General features: G+C 39.0%; 1 long non-coding RNA gene across 1 annotated transcript in view, besides 4 other annotated features; it reads right to left on the reverse strand.

Annotated features, from left to right (window-relative positions):
* The window catches only part of STEAP2-AS1 (STEAP2 antisense RNA 1), a 329283-nt gene that overhangs the window by 282574 nt on the left and 29281 nt on the right, over positions 1-17428 (reverse strand). The gene's annotated exons all lie outside the window — the stretch shown is intronic.
* Positions 8405-8494: an enhancer, noted in NCBI's record as "active region_26241". NCBI's record gives its function as "activates an Ori minimal core promoter by ATAC-STARR-seq in GM12878 lymphoblastoid cells {active_cell/tissue: GM12878}" and the evidence as "EXISTENCE:reporter gene assay evidence [ECO:0000049][PMID:35858748]".
* Positions 13968-14027: an enhancer, noted in NCBI's record as "active region_26242". NCBI's record gives its function as "activates an Ori minimal core promoter by ATAC-STARR-seq in GM12878 lymphoblastoid cells {active_cell/tissue: GM12878}" and the evidence as "EXISTENCE:reporter gene assay evidence [ECO:0000049][PMID:35858748]".
* Positions 14038-14087: an enhancer, noted in NCBI's record as "active region_26243". NCBI's record gives its function as "activates an Ori minimal core promoter by ATAC-STARR-seq in GM12878 lymphoblastoid cells {active_cell/tissue: GM12878}" and the evidence as "EXISTENCE:reporter gene assay evidence [ECO:0000049][PMID:35858748]".
* Positions 15306-15807: an enhancer, noted in NCBI's record as "NANOG hESC enhancer chr7:89809546-89810047 (GRCh37/hg19 assembly coordinates)". NCBI's record gives its function as "activates a minimal SCP1, AML or CMV promoter by ChIP-STARR-seq in naive H9 embryonic stem cells {active_cell/tissue: H9 hESC(naive)}" and the evidence as "EXISTENCE:reporter gene assay evidence [ECO:0000049][PMID:30033119]".

Genomic DNA, 17428 nt, shown 5'->3' on the forward strand with positions numbered 1-17428 from the left:
AGCACTTTCTTTATGATAAAAGTAAGCATGACCAAAAAATCACATCTGATTTGTCAGATTATGTAGCATTATAAATAATCAAGGGCTTTGAAATACCAGTTGTTGCTACCCATTATACAGGTATCATTAGCTATGAAAAGATAATTTTATCTGAATCTACAACAAAAGTGTAATAAGCATTTACTTACGATTGTTAAAGAACTTTCATTTGTCTGTATCCAGGTTTTACTCATGGAACACCTATCTCCAAAAACACTCAGACTATGTCTATACAAGTAAAGCAGCACAGTAATATCAGATACACAGCCAGGCAAAATGAAACTCAGGCTATCCAGGAGAAAAAAAGTAAATTCAATAATTTCCACCTGAGTCATGTACAATTCAGTTTAACTTACTTTAATGCATTGGTAAAAGTATAACATAAAACATTTCCTGAAAGAACAAATTATACATTAGCTGTCAGGACTTGCTAACTCAACTGTTTGCTTCAGAAGTTTTTCATAATTAGCAAAAGTAATCACAAACTTTATCTTTCATAGTGGTGAGCCATTTATTACTAAAGACAATAGAGCTAATCGTGCAAATTAGGAAAATCAATTAGGCTATTCAGTAAGTGGAGTCCAGTTTTTCTATTTTTTGTTCTATTGCAAAGGATGATTATTCATTATTACATGGGGGATAAGGAACCTCCTTGGGCACAAATTTGAACTCTGCATTATTGGAGTTCAGACATACAGAGATATATTCGCAGGCAGTGAAGAAAGGAGTTGAGAGCAGCAATTCTGAACTGGAGCCAGGGCAGACAAGAGTGCCCTTGAGAAAAAACTCAGCATAAAAGAAAAAGAAATCTAGGACTCTAGAATTGCAAACCAGATTCATCAAGGGAACAACATACTATGGGACCACTTAACTAATGACACATGTCATTCCGTAATCAACCAGCTCTGAGATGCAGCAGTCAAGTACCATAGTCTCACCTGCATGGCAAAGTGCCAGCTCCTCCAGTACTGAGAAGGAGAAATCAAGTTTCAACCTTCCTAGTACCAAGACATTATAGAGGCTGCAGCTTGGAATTGTTTGCAGGTGAAGTGGCACCTCAGTGAAACTTTCAGGGACAATAGCCGAGTTCTGGCTTGATTATGGGAGCCCTGTCTTGTTAGCCATGGTAACAAGCAACAATAGGCCTATTCTGAAACACAGAATATACCTTTTTGAGGATTCCTAGTTATAAGAGAAAGGGAATCAACAAGGGCCTTAAAAGCAAGGCACAAAACATCTAGATTCCATTTTTACTCATAGATTGGTAAGAACTAAAGCATTCACACTTTGTAGCTTTTCTGAAGTTTTTACAATGGTTGGGTAATATTGTTATGAGCCAAATAAAACAATAAAAGATGTCTTTAAAAGAACAATTATAATGTTCTGGTATAAGCTTGAATTTTACTCACCTCGCCAACATCTATAGAGCATATTCCATATGCCAGGTCAGTGCTAAACAGAGGATATATCAAGATAGAAATGATCTAGTCTCTACTCGCAGTCATGGGGAAGACAAATTTTAGTGCACCAATGGATTCTAAATGTACTGGTATCACTTAGGAAGAAATGACCGGTTCCCTTTACAAGAGCAAAGCCAGGAAAGTATAAGGTTGAGCCAGAAAAAAATAAACTGTTGTTTGAGCTGGGTATTGTGTATGTAAAAGTTCCTCAGAATGGGAGGGCAGGGTGTAATGTGATGTGTTGGAAGACCTAGCTTAGAGTGGCTGCAACAGAATATGTGAAAGAAATACCAGATTACATATAGACAAAGGATAGATAGGTCAAGGTCATTGTATGACATGAAACTAAGTTTGGGTTTTGCCCTTTAGGGAGTAGGGAAGCCATTAAAAACTTTAAATAGGAGCTAAACATTATTCGGGAGCTCCTACACATTATTATTTTAGGCGCTAAACATGATCAGATTTGCATTCTAGAAAGAACTATCTGTAGACTATCCAGGAGATTAATTTGATGGTGAGGGGCAAAGGGTGAAGACAAGTTAGAAAACAACAAAAATATTTAAGGAGACAACTGCAATATCCCAGGGCAGAGACAATAAATTCCCAAATGAAGGTCATTACAGAGAAGAAGATAAAAGAAGAGAGCTAATGAAATATGATAGGAAGATAGAAGTTCTCATCATTCATGAACAATAGAAGATGAGGAACAAGGGGGAGGAAGGCATTTAGGGCAGAGCTTCTAGGATTCTTTTAGCTTGGATAACTTAAGAATGATACCATTAAACAGGATAGAAAAATTCCACAGAAGGAGCAGATATTTTAACCAAAACAAAAACAGTGTGTGCTCTGTACATTGTATTGCTGTTTACAATCATCTCAGTTGTTAAGGAATGCAGTGTGTTTTTTTAGTTTCAGGGTACACAAATATAATTATGAAAGACATATAGTTTGGGAAGCGGAAAGGAAAAGGTATTTTTCCTGCTCCTTTGAAAGGGTAATTTTTAAATAAAACTTTTGATATGGTCAACACACTTATATCTGGATAATTATAGATATGAACGTAGATATGAGGGTCACTATGCTATAACACGCACAGGGTCCTCCTGGAGTAGAAGGAACAGCGCCTAGAAAACAGCTGGCTGTGAGCCCAGTGCCTTCCTTCTCCAAGCAGAGCTCTCCTTCCTGAACAAAATGAGTCCACCTGGGGTTTATTTTCTTTAAAGATTTGCTCAATAGAGATTTTATTATCTTTGGTTTAAAATAAAAGTTAAAATGATATATTTACTATTTTAATGAGTTACATTTAATGTTTTATGGCAACAAAAAAGAAATATCTGATTCTGATGTGATTTTTCAGATCATAGACTACATGTCTAAAGAAGCCTATAAGAAATTATGGCCTATGAAGTGTGGAATCTGAGACTGCTGGCAAGATGGCCGACTAGGAACAGCTCTGGTGCACAGCTCCCAGCAAGATCCACGCAGGAGGTAGGTGATTTCTGCATTTCCAACTGAGGTACCCGGTTCATCCCATTGGGACCGGTTAGACAGTGGGTGAAGCCCAAGGAGGGCGAGCCAAAGCAGGGTGGGACATCACCTCACCAGGGAAGCACTAAGGTCAGGGAACTCCGTCTCCTAGCCAAGGGAAGCCATTAGGGATTGTACTGTGCACACCAGCCCAGATACTACGCTTTTCCCACGTTCTTCACAACCCTCAGACCAGGAGATTCCCTCCGGTGCCTATGCCACCAGGGCCCTGAGTTTCCAGCACAAAACTGGGCAGCCGTTTGGGCAGACACCAAGCGAGCCACAGGAGATTTGTTTCATACCCCAGTGGCACCTGGAACACCCATGACACAGAACCGTTCACCCCTGTGGAAAGGAGGCTGAAGCCAGGGAGCCCAAGTGGTCTGGCTTGGTGGGTCCCACCCCACAGATCCCAGCAAGCTAAGATCCACTGGCTTGAAATTCTCGCTGCCAGCAGAGCAGTCTGAACTCGAGGGAGGCTCAAGCTTGGTGGCGGGAGTACTTTCAGTACTGGCTTATCTTCATGTATTTCTATAAGAACTCTGTTTTCTCTCCTATTAAAACTGCTATTACACATCTTCCTTCCACTAAAATCAACAATAGTGTCTCCACTTATACCCAGTTGGTAGATTTTCCTTAGGAAATAGATGCAATTGGAAGAGAATGAGTTCATCTTCTCACCAACAAAATCTCTTGATTGATGTACATGCGTCTGGTACCCATATCTTCTGCATATTACAACAGAAAAATTATCCCTCTCCCAGTCTATGTCTAACTCAAAGAGTTTTGGTCTTAAATTGCACTCATTTCTCTTGTGTCATCAATTTACCCCTTTCTGCTGGATTATTCCCATTAATACTCAAGCATTAGATTAAATAAATAAATAAATAAAAATTTGGACCAACGTCCCCCTGTAGTTTCTACCCATTTCTCTGCTAACCTTTAAAACAAAATTACTATAGATACTTGCCACTTTGATATTAATTTACCTATTCAGCTTTCTTTTGGTTAGTATTTGCATGACATATGTTTTCTCATCCTATTATTTACAACCTTTCTATTTTCCTATGTTTTTAGATGTCTTTTGAGAACCGTATATAGTTTAGTTTTTTAAAAAAAAATTCAGTCAGGCAATCTTTGCTTTTAATTGCAACCTATAGGCCTACATATTTAATGTCATAATTGATATATTTGGACTTCATTATACCACCTTACTATTTGCTTCCCATTTCCTCATTAGTTCTATGTTTTTTTTCTTTCTCTCTTATATGACCTCATTTCAGATTGATTGAGATTATTTATTATTTCAGTTTTCCCTTCTCAAGCAAGCATACTTTATCTTACTATTTTTAGAAGTTACTCTAGAGATTATAATATCATCATTGACATAGCAGTCTAATATTAATTGGCACTTTTACCTCTTCTTGTTCAATGTCAGGAACGTCTACCCTTTAACTTCAGTTAACCCCCTTTTGACATATATGCTATTGTTGTCATGTGTTTTAATTCTATATATATTTAAACTCAATAGAAATTATAATTATGGTTTTATATTTATTGAGATTTATACACAGTTACCCTTTCGGTTAAAAAAAAAATCTTTAGTGTTCCTTTTAGTGTGTAATGCATGCCTGCTGGAAAAAAAAATTTTTTTCACAAGTTTTTGTTCTTAAAATATCTTTATTTTATCTTCATTATTAAAGAATACATTTTAGATGCTTAGAAATCTAGGAGGGCAGTTATTTTCTTTCAGAACTTTGTAGAAAGTTTCATTGTTTCTGATGAAAGACAAAAAATCTCATTCTAACCATTGCTTCAAGAGATCCCTATGGCTACTTTATAATTTTTTTTTTTTTTGCGTTAGTTTTCAGTACTTTTGCTATAGTGAGGTTAACTTTGGTTTTCCTATTAGTTATCTTAGTTAGGGCTTGTAGGCATTCTTGAACCTGGAGTTTAATACGATTATCAGATTTGGAAAATTCTCAGCCATTATCTTTTCAAATATTGCTGATGTCCCATTTTTCTCTCTCCTTTTTCAGGATTTCAATTACCCATGCTAGATGTTCTCATTATATCTCCTATTTTATAACTCTGTCTTTTTATTTTCTTTTTTTTCTATACTTCCTCCTGGGTAATCCTACCTATTTCTTAATTCTCTCTTCAATTGTGTCTAATTGGTTATTAAATCTATCCACTGAATTTTTAGTTTTAGTTCTGAGGTAAACTCAGTTTTATAATTTTAATTTGTTTTCATAGCTTCCAATTTTCTGTCAAATTTCCTACTCTTGTCCTTAATCTCCTTCAGCAGAATAAGAATCTTAAAGGTAAATCTATTATCATCTGAAGTTCATATGAGTCTGTTTCTATTGTCAGGTTTTTTTCTCCTTATTTTTCATTAATTCATTTTATGTCCTAACATGAACTGGTTATTTTTACTGAGTGCTGGACCTTATAGTTTTTTAAAATCATACAAATAATTTGAAGCTATGATGACATTATGTTACTCCAGAGAGAATTTGTGTTTTCTTCAGACAGCCAGTTAGGGGCTCTAACAATGTGGGAATCTCTTAATCCAATTTTAAGAATTGAGTTTACTTAAAATTGGGTTTAAGCCCCTGCCAAACTTGAACTACTTCTGGTTCACATTTATTCCTAAGAGTAAGTTCCCTGAGATTCCGACCCAGAGCTTGATGGAGAGTGGCTCCAAGGGCTCTCCTCCTTGGCATACTCTGGATTACAGATTTTGTTCCATTAGTCTCTTGAGGCTACTAAAAGTACTGTTCAAGACTTGTAACCTCTCTGTTACCTCTTCTAGAATCCCCTAATGGAAAAGTAAACCTCAGTGCTGGGTTTACCTCTCTTGGGTTCTTTCTTCCTCCAAGACTTATTACCCATCACCATTTTGTTAGCTACTCAACACCTTCAGGCACAGAGTTTTTATAATTGGTCTTGCTTTTCTAGTTGATCCCAGGTTTGGTACATATAACCCAGGAATGACCAGCAGCAGAAATCACTAGAGAGAGTTGATTACATTTGTTATCTCTATGTCCCCCTCTTCCATTTTCTCTCTTCTATTCTGTACAATTTTATCTCTCACTGTTGCACTACACCTCTCTTGTCAAGATGACCAAGTGATAAAATCTCAGTCCTCACTTTACTTGCTCACCCAGTAATATTTGACAAGTTTATTCCTCTCTTTCTTGAAACATTTTATTTTCTTGGCTTCTGGGAAAACCTACTCCCTGAGTGACTTTTCTGTGTCATTTGCTGGCTCCTCTTCCCTTTCCTATCATCTCAATGTTAGCAAGATTGACTCTTTGATGTCCTTTTCTTCTCTTTTTATAACCACAATAGAAGTAATCATCTCCTTTAATCTCATGGCCTTAAATATTAGGTTGGTGTAAAAGTAATTGCTTTTTTCCCCATTACTTTCAATGGCAAAAATCTCAATTACTTTTGCACCAACCTAACAAAAAACATCAAAAGTATGTTGATGAGTCCCAAATTTATATCCCTAGGCTTTCACCTGAGCTGCAGCCTATTACATCTGCCTTTTTGACAACTTCTCTTGAATATCTAAGAAGCATCTCAAACATAAGATTCTAAAGGCAAAATCTTAATTTCTTTCCCATTCTCGCCCAGTTGCTCAAGACAGACACTCAGGAGTTATCTTTGGTACTTCCTTTTACTTCATACCCATATCCCATTTACCAGCAAATTCTACGGGCTTGACCACCAAAATATGTTTTGCATCCAACTGCAACCTCACTAAACTCATCGAGGTCCAAGTCACAGCAATCTCTCTCCTAGGATTCTTGCAACAAACTTCCAAAATGGTCTTCCTGTTCCCACTCTTGCCCTCATCCCCTGCTACCACTAGCAGAATATTTTCCACCCAGCAACCAGTGTAATTCTTCAAAAATGTAAATGCTATCCGGTCACTCCTATGCACAAAACTCTCCAATGTTTTCACATAAATTTTAAAATAAAACCCAGGCTCTTTACCATGGTCTACAAATCCCCAAAACATCTGGACCCTGCTCGCTTTCTGAACTCATCTCCTGCCACTCTTTACCTCACTCAAGCCACTCACATTCCACTGGTATTCTTGCGTGTCTTCAAAAATAAGCTCATTCCTACCTTAGGCCCTTCGTATTCTCTATATCCTCTGTCTAGAATGTTCTACCTATGCCTCAGTTTTTACATGATTAGTTTTTTTTCATCATTCACATCTATGTTGAGATGTCACCTCTTCAGAGTGCCTTTCTCTGACTACTCTACGTAAAATAGCTCCTTTCCTGTATCCTTTTCCTGGGCTTTATAGTTTTCATTACTCTGCATATTATGTCTTTTATAGGTGTACTTGTGTTTCCTGGTTGTCTGGTTCTCCTACTCAAAAGAACAGAGATTTTATCTTATTTGTGACAGTATTCTCATGACTTAGAGCCTGGCACATCGTAGAAGCTCAATAAATAATTGTTAGATGAATGAATGAATGAGGAACATGGTTGTGTTATCAATAAATGGTTGAGATAGTAGTATTTAGAAAACAAAAATGACTTAGATAAGTGATTCTCAAAGTACGCTCCACAGACCAGGAGTACCACCATCATCTAGGAGCTTACTAGAAATGCAAATCCTGGGACCCCCCAGCCCAGACCTACTAAGTTAGAAACTGGAGATAAGCAGAGTGATCTATTTTTTATCAAGACCTTCCAAAGATTCTGGATGCATGGTAAGTTTGAGAACCACTGGTTTCAGGGATAGGCCAAACCTAGCCTACTACCTATTTTATAATAAAATTTTATTGGAACACAGCCACTTGCATTCATTTACGTGTTATCTATGGCTGCTTTTGCACTACAACAGCAGTACTGAGTACTTGCAACACAGACATTATAGCCCACAAAGCCTATAATATTTACTATCCAGCCCGTTATAAAACAATTTTGATTACCTCTAGTTTAGATCAACGCCTTATGCTATGTAATTACGGCAAAGTAAACACATACGATTCATCTTCTTTTTCACCGAAATCCCACTGAAATTAAAGAAAAGCTATGGCTAAAGAAGGCACCATAGCATACTGAAAAACAGAAAAGGGTAGCATCAGTGGACCAGATTATTTGAGGAATTTCCAGGACATAAAAAACATCTCGGAGAGAGGAGACAACAGTGAGATCAGATTAAAAGAAACAAGTATAGAGACTGCACCACAAGATTCAAATAGAGGCTATTGCAAAAAGCAGCAATAGTTTCTAAGAAAACCGCAGATGAGTATTATTTTCCAAGTAAGCAAGCTAAATCAACCACCGAGAAAACATTGGGTGAATCATTAAAGGACTACCATCAGAAGATCTGGCCAGTGACCCTTCTACCCAAAGACTTGCACAGCTGGCTACAGATCTCATTTATAAACAAAGCTAAAAGGCTTTGGGAAAGGCTCATGGCTTCAGTATTGGAGTCTGAGAAGCAGAGTACAGCAAGACTGCCACAGTGACAGCAGAGGCACAGGAAGAAAAGGGAAGTCTGACTAGAGCATTTGCCACCAAGAAAAAGTGTCATGTACAGGTCTCTAAAGTAAGAGTACTGAAATAGGAGACTCCCAGAATAGCTTCAGGAAAAAGTACAAGGTAAGGACAGGAAGCCCATGTTTACCCAGTAAACAAACTACTTCCCCATAGTTATGGATTAAATTATGCCCCCCCAAAAAGATATGTTAAAGTCCTAATCCCTGGTACCTCAGAATGTGACCTTATTTGGAAATAGGTTATTGCAGATGTAATTAGTCAAAATGAGGTTACAATGGAGTATGGTGGTCTCTCAATCCAATATGACTTGTGCCCTTGTAAGAAGAGAGAGATGGCCGGGCACAGTGGCTCACGCCTGTAATCCCAGCACTTTGGGATTCCGAGGCGGGCAGATCACTTGAGGTCAGGAGTTTGGGACCAGCCTGACCAATATGGTGAAACCCCGTCCCTACTAAAAACACAAAAATTAGCTAGGTGTGGTGGCAGGCACCTATAGTCCCAGCTACTCAGGAGGCTGAGACAGGAGAATTGCTTGAACCCGGGAGGTGGAGGTTGCAGTGAGCCGAGATCGTGCCACTGCACTCCATCCTGGGTGACAGAGCAAGACTCCATCTCAAAAAAAAAAGAAGAAGAAGAAGAGAGAGACACAGAGAGGAGAATGCCATATGAAGACATGAAGACACACAGACACAGAGAGAAGACAATCATGTGAAAGGAGAGACAGAGGGCCAGGCATGATGATTCACATCAGTAATCTCAACAATTTGGGAGGCCTAGGTAAGAGAATTGCTTGAGGCCAGGAGCTCAAGACCAGACTGAGCAACATAGCAAATCCCTGTATCTACAAAAAAAATAAAAAATTAGCCAGGCATAATGGCATGTACTTGTAGTCCTAGCTACTTGGGAAGCTGAGGCAGGAGGATCACTTGAGCCCAGGAGTTTGAGGCTGCAGTGAGCTATAGTGCACTGCAGCCTGGGTGACAGAGCAACACCCTGTCTCTTAATAATAATAATAAAAAGACAGAGGCAGAGAAGCTCGAAGAAGAAAATAATCTCCTAGAGGCTTTGGAGGTTGCATGGCCTGACAGTACTTAGATTTTGGACTTTTAGCCTCCAGTACTGTGAAAAAATAAATTTCTATTAAGCCACTTAGTTTGTGGTTTGTTAGGGCAACCCTAGGAAACTAATACAGTAGACCTCCGGGCCACACATTCTACTGCTCCCTCTTTATCACCAAAAGTGGAACCCGAATTAACAGACAATCAAATTATCACCAAATACTTGGGGAAAATTAACATCATTAGAAAGGATCATCTGATTCAAATAACTGAATAACTAAAACTTGAAGAAAATTAATGGCAGCAACAGAATAAGACTTTTTAAGTATAATTTATTTGGAGGTATTCGAGAATATATTACTTTAATTAGCAAAAATATGACAGCTATGAAAAAAACAGAAACAATTGGGATTCTTGGAATTAAGACTATTATTACTATTTTTTTTTTCTTAGGGATGAGATCTCACTATGTTGCTCAGGCTAGACTCTAACTCCTGGGCTCTAGTGATCCTCCTGCCTCTGGCTCCCAAGCAGCTGGGACTACAGACCAGCATCACCACACCCAGTTTAGTTACAAAATATTTTTTAAACTATAAAAAACTATTCTGCATAGTAAAACACTGTTTATTAAGTTAAAAAAAGAAAAACACTCATGGAAAACAACAAAATACCTTTTGGCATACAAAAAGACATGCATATTTAAGAACATATATGAAATATCTTAAATAGAAACAATGGTGGGGAGAATGGGAACACGCGTCAAGGATGAAAGTTTTAAAAATAAACAAATAAGCTGGGCATGGTGGCTCACGCCTGTAGTCCCAGCACTTTGAGAGGCCAAGGCAGGCAGATCACCCAAAGTAGGAAGTTCGAGACCAGCCTGACCAACATGGAGAAACCCCATCTCTACTAAAAATACAAAATTAGCTGGGCATGGTGGTGCATGCCTGTAATCCCAGCTACTCAGGAGGCTGAGGCAGGAGAATCGCTTGAACTCGGGAGGCAGAGGTTGCGGTGAGCCAAGATCGTGCCATTGCACTCCAGCCTGGGCAAAAAGAGTGAAACTCCATCTCAAAAATAAATAAATAAGTAAAATAAACAAATGAGCAATCCTAAGCCAAAAGAACAAAGCTAGAGGCATCACACTGTCATGAGATCCTTGGGGTGTTGCTTTGCCAGCCGGAAAACCTCTGTGGCTGGTGGCACATTTCCCCAGGTTTTTACTCAGGCCCACTGGGCTCATTCCACCCACCTGGCCTGGCAGGCTGTGCTTGGCTCACACCACTGGCCCAAATCTCATGCCTACCAAGGACGAGCCAGGCACAGAGTAGCAAGGGGTATGTGAGTGAGAGTGGGGTTCAGCCACTGGGCACAGCCAGGCACACCGGCTGTGGTAAGGTTGGCAGCTCCAGGTGCCAGCATGGGTGCCAGCTCCCTATGAGGCTGCATCTGGACCAGGCATACCTGAAGCAGCTTCCACAGCTGGCACCAGGGAATGCGGTAGCACCCAGAAGCTTGGAGATGCCAGGAATCTGCAGAGCCTCAGAGAGGGTGGCACAGCCCTGGTTTGGGGAGCTCCTAGGTCTGGGATCCCCAAAGGGCCACAGCTGTCTCTCCTTCTCTCTTCTTTCTTTCTTGTTGCCTGCAACGTGGTGAGCAAGGGGCATATTTCATCCCTGTTTTTGTTACAGCTCTTTTAGCCCTCCCATTTGGCAAGTCCTGAGTTCTTGTCTTGCATCCAGGAAGAATGATGTACGCAAACAAGTGGAGGTGAGCAAGGTGAAGAGGAGCTTTATTGAGTGACAGAGGAGACCCTGGAGTGGGTAGCTCTTCTCCACAGGCAGTCATCTGATCATCTCCTTGATCTGGCTGAGCCCAGGGGTTTTATGGGCTTCAGAGGGGAGGAAGGGGTGGTGGTTGGTTCATGGGTGGCCATGGGGAGCCCAGAGAAAGCACCATAAGTTCCCATCCTGGCTCTTCAGCCAGGCCTCTGGATTCAGGCCATCCATGGCTCAAAGGTGGGGCTTCACTAGGGACCTGCCTCTTTCTGCCCTGCCTCCTGCTGTCATCCATAGCACTCAGGCTGTTTGTGCCAAGAGGCAACTGCAGGCCAGTGCCGAGCTGCCTTCAGCAACCCCCCTCACCCTCTCCCGTGCTTGTTGATACCCAAAGTCTGAAGGGCGCCAAGGCAGCAGGGGTCTGGTGTGTCAGCACTGCTCCAAGCATGTGCACCCACCCAGATTGTGACAGCACCCAGGCTCAGCCTCAATTTTGCTTCAAGATCAGAGCAGGCACCAGGAGTGGGGAGAAGCCAGGCTGTGGGAGCAGACACCTCCAAGCCTGAGGGGGCAGAGGGGCTTCCTGGGCCCCCAAGAACACAGGTATGCCCAGGTCCACAGCTGTGGCTTGGGTGGCTGCAGCTGTACCTGGGAAGCTTGAGGCTTCTGCACTGCCAATTCGGAAGGGCATGAGGCTTCTGCCTGTTCCCAGCTCTCACCAGCTCCATGAAGCTCAAAGCCAAGGCAGCGCCTCCCCACCTGCAGCTGGTGTCTTCGCAGCCACCACTCCAGGCAGGCGGCTGCTGCCATCAACATTACCCGACTTAAAATTATATTACAAGGCTTTCTATCAGGGTAAACTGTCAGTCAAAAAAAGAACAAAAAAGAAATAGAAAAAAATTATGCTACAAAAATATAGTAATCAAAATATCATGGTACTGGCATAAAAATGGACACATAGATAAACAGAACAAAATAGAGAACTCAGAAGTAAAGCCATGTACCTCCAGCCAACTCATCTTTAACCAAGTTGACAAATGTAGAAGAATGAAACTGGTCCCCTATCTCTCACCATATACAAAAATTAACCCAAGATAGATTAAAGACTTAAATTTAAGACCCAAAACTAAAAAAATCCTAGAAGAACACCTAGGAAAAACTCTTCTGGACATTGGCCTAGACAAAGAATTCATGACTAAGGCCTCAAAAGATTCAGAGGGGTAGGAGGGGAGTAAAGGATGAGAAATTACTCAGTAGGTACAATGTACGTTATTTGGGTAGTGGTTACACTAAAAGCCCAAACTTTACCTTTATGTAATATAACCATTTAAGAAAACGAACTTGTATTCCCTAAATTTATACAAATTAAAAATGAATGAATGAATGAAACAAGACACATGGGCAAATTATAAAACTGTGCTATGAATTAAGATGGTGTGATTAACTATTTACACCCAGGATCCAAAAAGGAGAAAACTTTACATATTAATAGGGAAACTAATTTCCAAAATAGATATAGCTGAAGATTAATTTACAGAACTAAACGTCTAAACTGAGGGATTCTCCCAGAACACAGTTCAAAAGAAAAAATTCATAAAATGGAAAACTTTAAAGAAGAGTTAAGGGGCATGAAAAGAGACCCAAATGATCTCAAATACCCATTGTGTAAGTTTCAGAAGGATGCAATAGAAGCAATAAAATAAGAAAACAAATAAATAATGGAGGGAAATTTCTTGGAGCTAGAGAAAGACACTAGACTTCAGAGCAAAACCTCTGTAAGATGAAGGGGCTGAGGAGGGAGGGGAGGAATGCACGCCTTTGCAAGCTTGATGGAACTTCAGGCCACCAAGGATAAAGAGAAAAATCCCAAAAACTTCCATAAGGAAGAAACAGACTTTTTTCTTTGGAAAGAAGAATCTGATTCCAAATAATTGAGGAGACAAAGTAGGTGATTATGCACATTGCTAAGATTTGGCTCTAGAAAAAGCTGGGCAGTAGATGGTATTGCTAGAAGGGATGTCATCAATAGTGAGCTAAGTGTACTAAAATTATCATTTTTCTCACAAAGCTTCATGTTCTGAAGGGAAAGAGGCAATTATAATTCTGGTCCCAGCTATAAATGGGCTGGTGCCAATGTATCATCACCCAACTGCTTCTCTAAAATCCAGCTAGCATCCGTCTCTCATAAGAAGCAGCATTTATACGAAGACATTCTAATGTCTACACATCTATAATCCAATATCTGTAATATAATCTATAATCTAATATCTGTAATCCAATATAATATCTGTAAATGCTAACTAGCATCATTTCAAATTATAAACCCCTATGAAGTCTCCCTGATAACTGACAATGAAGCCAGCATACGGAGACTTTTCCAGAGTCATGAGCTTGTGGGTGGCAGAACAAGGGCTGGGAGGCAGGCCTCCTGACTTTGTAGCCAGTACTGGTGCCACCATGTCATGCTGACAGCTCAGCACCAATCCTTCTATACTCTCGTGTTTTCTCCTGTTTGTGATAAAGTATGTACATCTGTGTCATTGGAAGGCTTGGAGAAGAGTCCAAAGGTGCAAAACAAAGCAAATCTCCCCACGCCTGGCAGAATCTTCAGTCCTGGCCTAATGAGCTCACCAGCTCAGTAAGTTCTGCGACTGCTTCGGGTTACCAAAAGAATAGAGTATGTAACAGTGCTAGGAAAAGAGACACTTAAAAACCCACATCCAGGCATTGTTCAATGACTGCTCATAAATACTTTATGGCAAAATTCTTTCTGGTGGCACAGAAGGCCATGAACAATCTGACACCTCCATTAGTCACCTCTGTTAGTCACCACTACGACTTCCTGACCCATCTCTGGGTTTCACTTCAGTTTTTAGATACCCAGCCCTAACAATTAAGCAAAACTTCATTGATAGTTCCTCTTCAAAAGTATTTCCAGAATAACTATTAAAATCCCATGGACTAGTCAAGATAGTGAGATATGCTTTTGAGTGAACAGCCACCATTTCTTCCTTTTAGAGATTTATTTTTTAACTTAACAAAAAGCAAATCTAATGTGAAACTTAATGAAAATTGTTTCAAAAACTTGAAATGCAACTACAAAATAGCCCATTATTGCCTAAGCTTTCTATACTTAACTAGTTTTCTAAATCTATATTACATAGGCTAGAGAAATAACATATTGTTTTTATATGTACAATCCAAATCTAGTCTCTCCGAATTTTCTTTAAGGCCAACTATTTTAATATAGGCCAGTATTTTACTCTATTATTCAATCGCAAACCACGTTTCTTTCCTCACAGTAGTGCATTTTGACAAAATCAATCTTTTCATTCTTTTCAGCAAATAATACAGAAATTGGGATTCATTCATGAGAAGTCAGTGAAAATAAAAATGATTTCAGATTTTCTTTACATTTGTATAATATCACTAGTAGAGGAGGAATGGCTTTCCAGACCACTTGTTAGGAAAAAAATATGAGTGGGAAATTACACTAAGCCTATATAAACAATTCCAAAGTAGAATTCTCTTTTCTCCTTGGTAAATAAATGCTTGATTTTCATAATTCAACATATAATTTTAAACTAGGGCAACCAAACTTGTGACATGAAAAGAGGAATTTTATTGTTAAGTTACACTGGTATACTGCAAAGTCATACCAAAAAAAAAGGAGCAAAATATATTTTTTAATAATCTTACACAAGAATGCTCAAGAATCTTCTACATGAGGTAACTACAGAAAAAAAGAACACTAGGTCAGCTGAAGGCTGAACTAAATTTGTTCCATAAAAGTTGGTGAGTTTCATTTTTCGCTTCTAAGGGGATAAAGGAAAAAGAATGTGCATTGTGTTTAAGAAAACCCAGAATACTGCCAAAAGTTTGCCACCCACTTTGGCATTCTGCCTTTATCCTGAAAGATAATTTCTTCTCCATTATAAACAGCCTATGTGAGATGAACTGTCAACAAGAGGGAAGCTAGAGTGAGAAACAGAGAAAAAGAACAGCATCATGCAAGGAAAGTTATGAAACAAATTGACTCTTGATTCTCTCTTGGCTTGCCTTTCTTAATGCAAATAGAATTAAAAAGTCAAATAGCCCTAATGTTAGCCAGGTGAAGTGTGGTTAGAAATGGTTGACTGGAAATTCCCTTGCTTTCATCAAACAATTGTTATGTGAATATTGCATCAGCTTGGTCCTTTTGATGTTCCTACATGACTTAAGAAAACTTTGTATTTCCAGTAGTGTATTTCCAATGACAAAAACTCTGCTGTGTGATTTTAGAAAATCACTAAAATTACCAGTGCTTTTGCTAGATCTTTCACAGTTGCAAAAACAAATGTTTTTGAACAAGGCTCTATTTTTCATGAAAATATTCAACTGAATGCAGGGAAAGTAAATGCAAAATATCTAGGGAAGGCACCAATCAAATCATGCAAGAAGAGATTTTTCTAGACTTCAAAGAAAAAGTATTCAGTGACTCCAAGGTGTGGGGCAAGGGAGGCAGGGGAGTGATGAATTTGTTTTCTTTGCATTGTTCCACTTCCTTGTTTGCTGTGTTGCACAAACTCTATTGAATATCAAGATTTGGCCTCTTATGAATAAGATACTTAATAGAGAAGAATGTCAGTTTTTTCAAGCCCATAAATACCTTTTAAATGTTCTTAGAATTTTACAATTGGATGAAAAAGCATCAAAAAACATAGTTTGTATAATTTTATCATTAAAAATATTTTCCATTATTATTCAAGGAGTTCATTGATGCTGAATACAAAATGCCTAAGATTTATTATTTAAGTTTATGAGCTAAAGGAAATCTTAGTGTTTATCTAGCCTAACTTCCTTGTTCTACATTTCTGTTTTGTTTTTTCAAATGATGTATCTTGTTTGCTTCACGATTATGTTAAAGAAAAAGTTTTTTTTCAGAAATAAGAAATAGATTATAAATTTTTAAAAAGGAAAGAAAATTGAGGAAAAAGGGAATTAAAGGATATTGGATAATATAGAGAAAGATATTTATAGGGCATAAAATCATTTCTAGTGGAAGGAGGACACATGGGTTTGTCATTGCCAGAGCACCTTTTGTTTTTCTGAGCATTTTGTGAGATGGCCAATTTTACCCAGCATAGAATCGAGTAAGAATGAAACTGAAATAATTTGCAAAGTTGAAAGTTGAGTGTGACCATAAGCCTCCAATCCTAGTTCCAGCCTGCCCACCATGCTGGGAATATAGTTTGGATATTTGTCCCTGCCCAAATCTCATGCTGAAATATAATCTCCAATGTTGGAAGTAGGACCTTGTGGGAGGTGTTTGGAACATGGGAGCAGATCTCTAGAAGCTGAGCAAATGCCAGCACCATGCTTCCTGTAAAACCTGAAGAACCATGAGCCACTTAATCCTCTTTTTTTATAAATTACTCAGTCTCATGTGTTACTTTACAGCAAGGCAAAAATGGCTTAATACCTTGGGCATGCTCCAGTAGAGATTAGAATTCACATGAAACAACAAATGAGAAACAGGGAGAAAACTATTAAGAGGTCTATGGTAGGGAAGATTGTGGCTATTGTCTCCATTTACTTTTAGAATTTCTTCGTGTGTGTGTGTGTGTGTGTGTGTGAGAGAGAGAGAGAGAGAGAGAGAGAGAGACAACTAGTAGAAACAGAGTAACCAAATCTCTTAACTGGAAATGACTTTATATGTTGTATTACTAAAAGACGTCCAATTTCCAACATCCTGAATATATACAGTGACAGAGGACAGATAACTCACTATTTTATGGGGTAGTTTATTCATTTTTGTAAATACCAGCCATTGTTCTTAATATTGTTATCAAGGGTCTCAACCCGAAAATAAATTCATCTCCCCTACCCATCTTTCGCAACAACAAAGCAAAAAATTCCCCTTCCAGACTTTGTCACATCTGTTAATGACATAGCCATTTTATCGAACTCAAAAACTTTGTGTTCCCTTGCATTTAAAAATCCAGTTATCAAGTGTTGCTAATTCCAATTTGGACTCCGTAGCATCCATTCCTACC

This window comes from Homo sapiens, chromosome 7, assembly GCF_000001405.40.
Source record: "Homo sapiens chromosome 7, GRCh38.p14 Primary Assembly".
NCBI classification, from domain to species: Eukaryota; Metazoa; Chordata; class Mammalia; order Primates; family Hominidae; genus Homo; species Homo sapiens.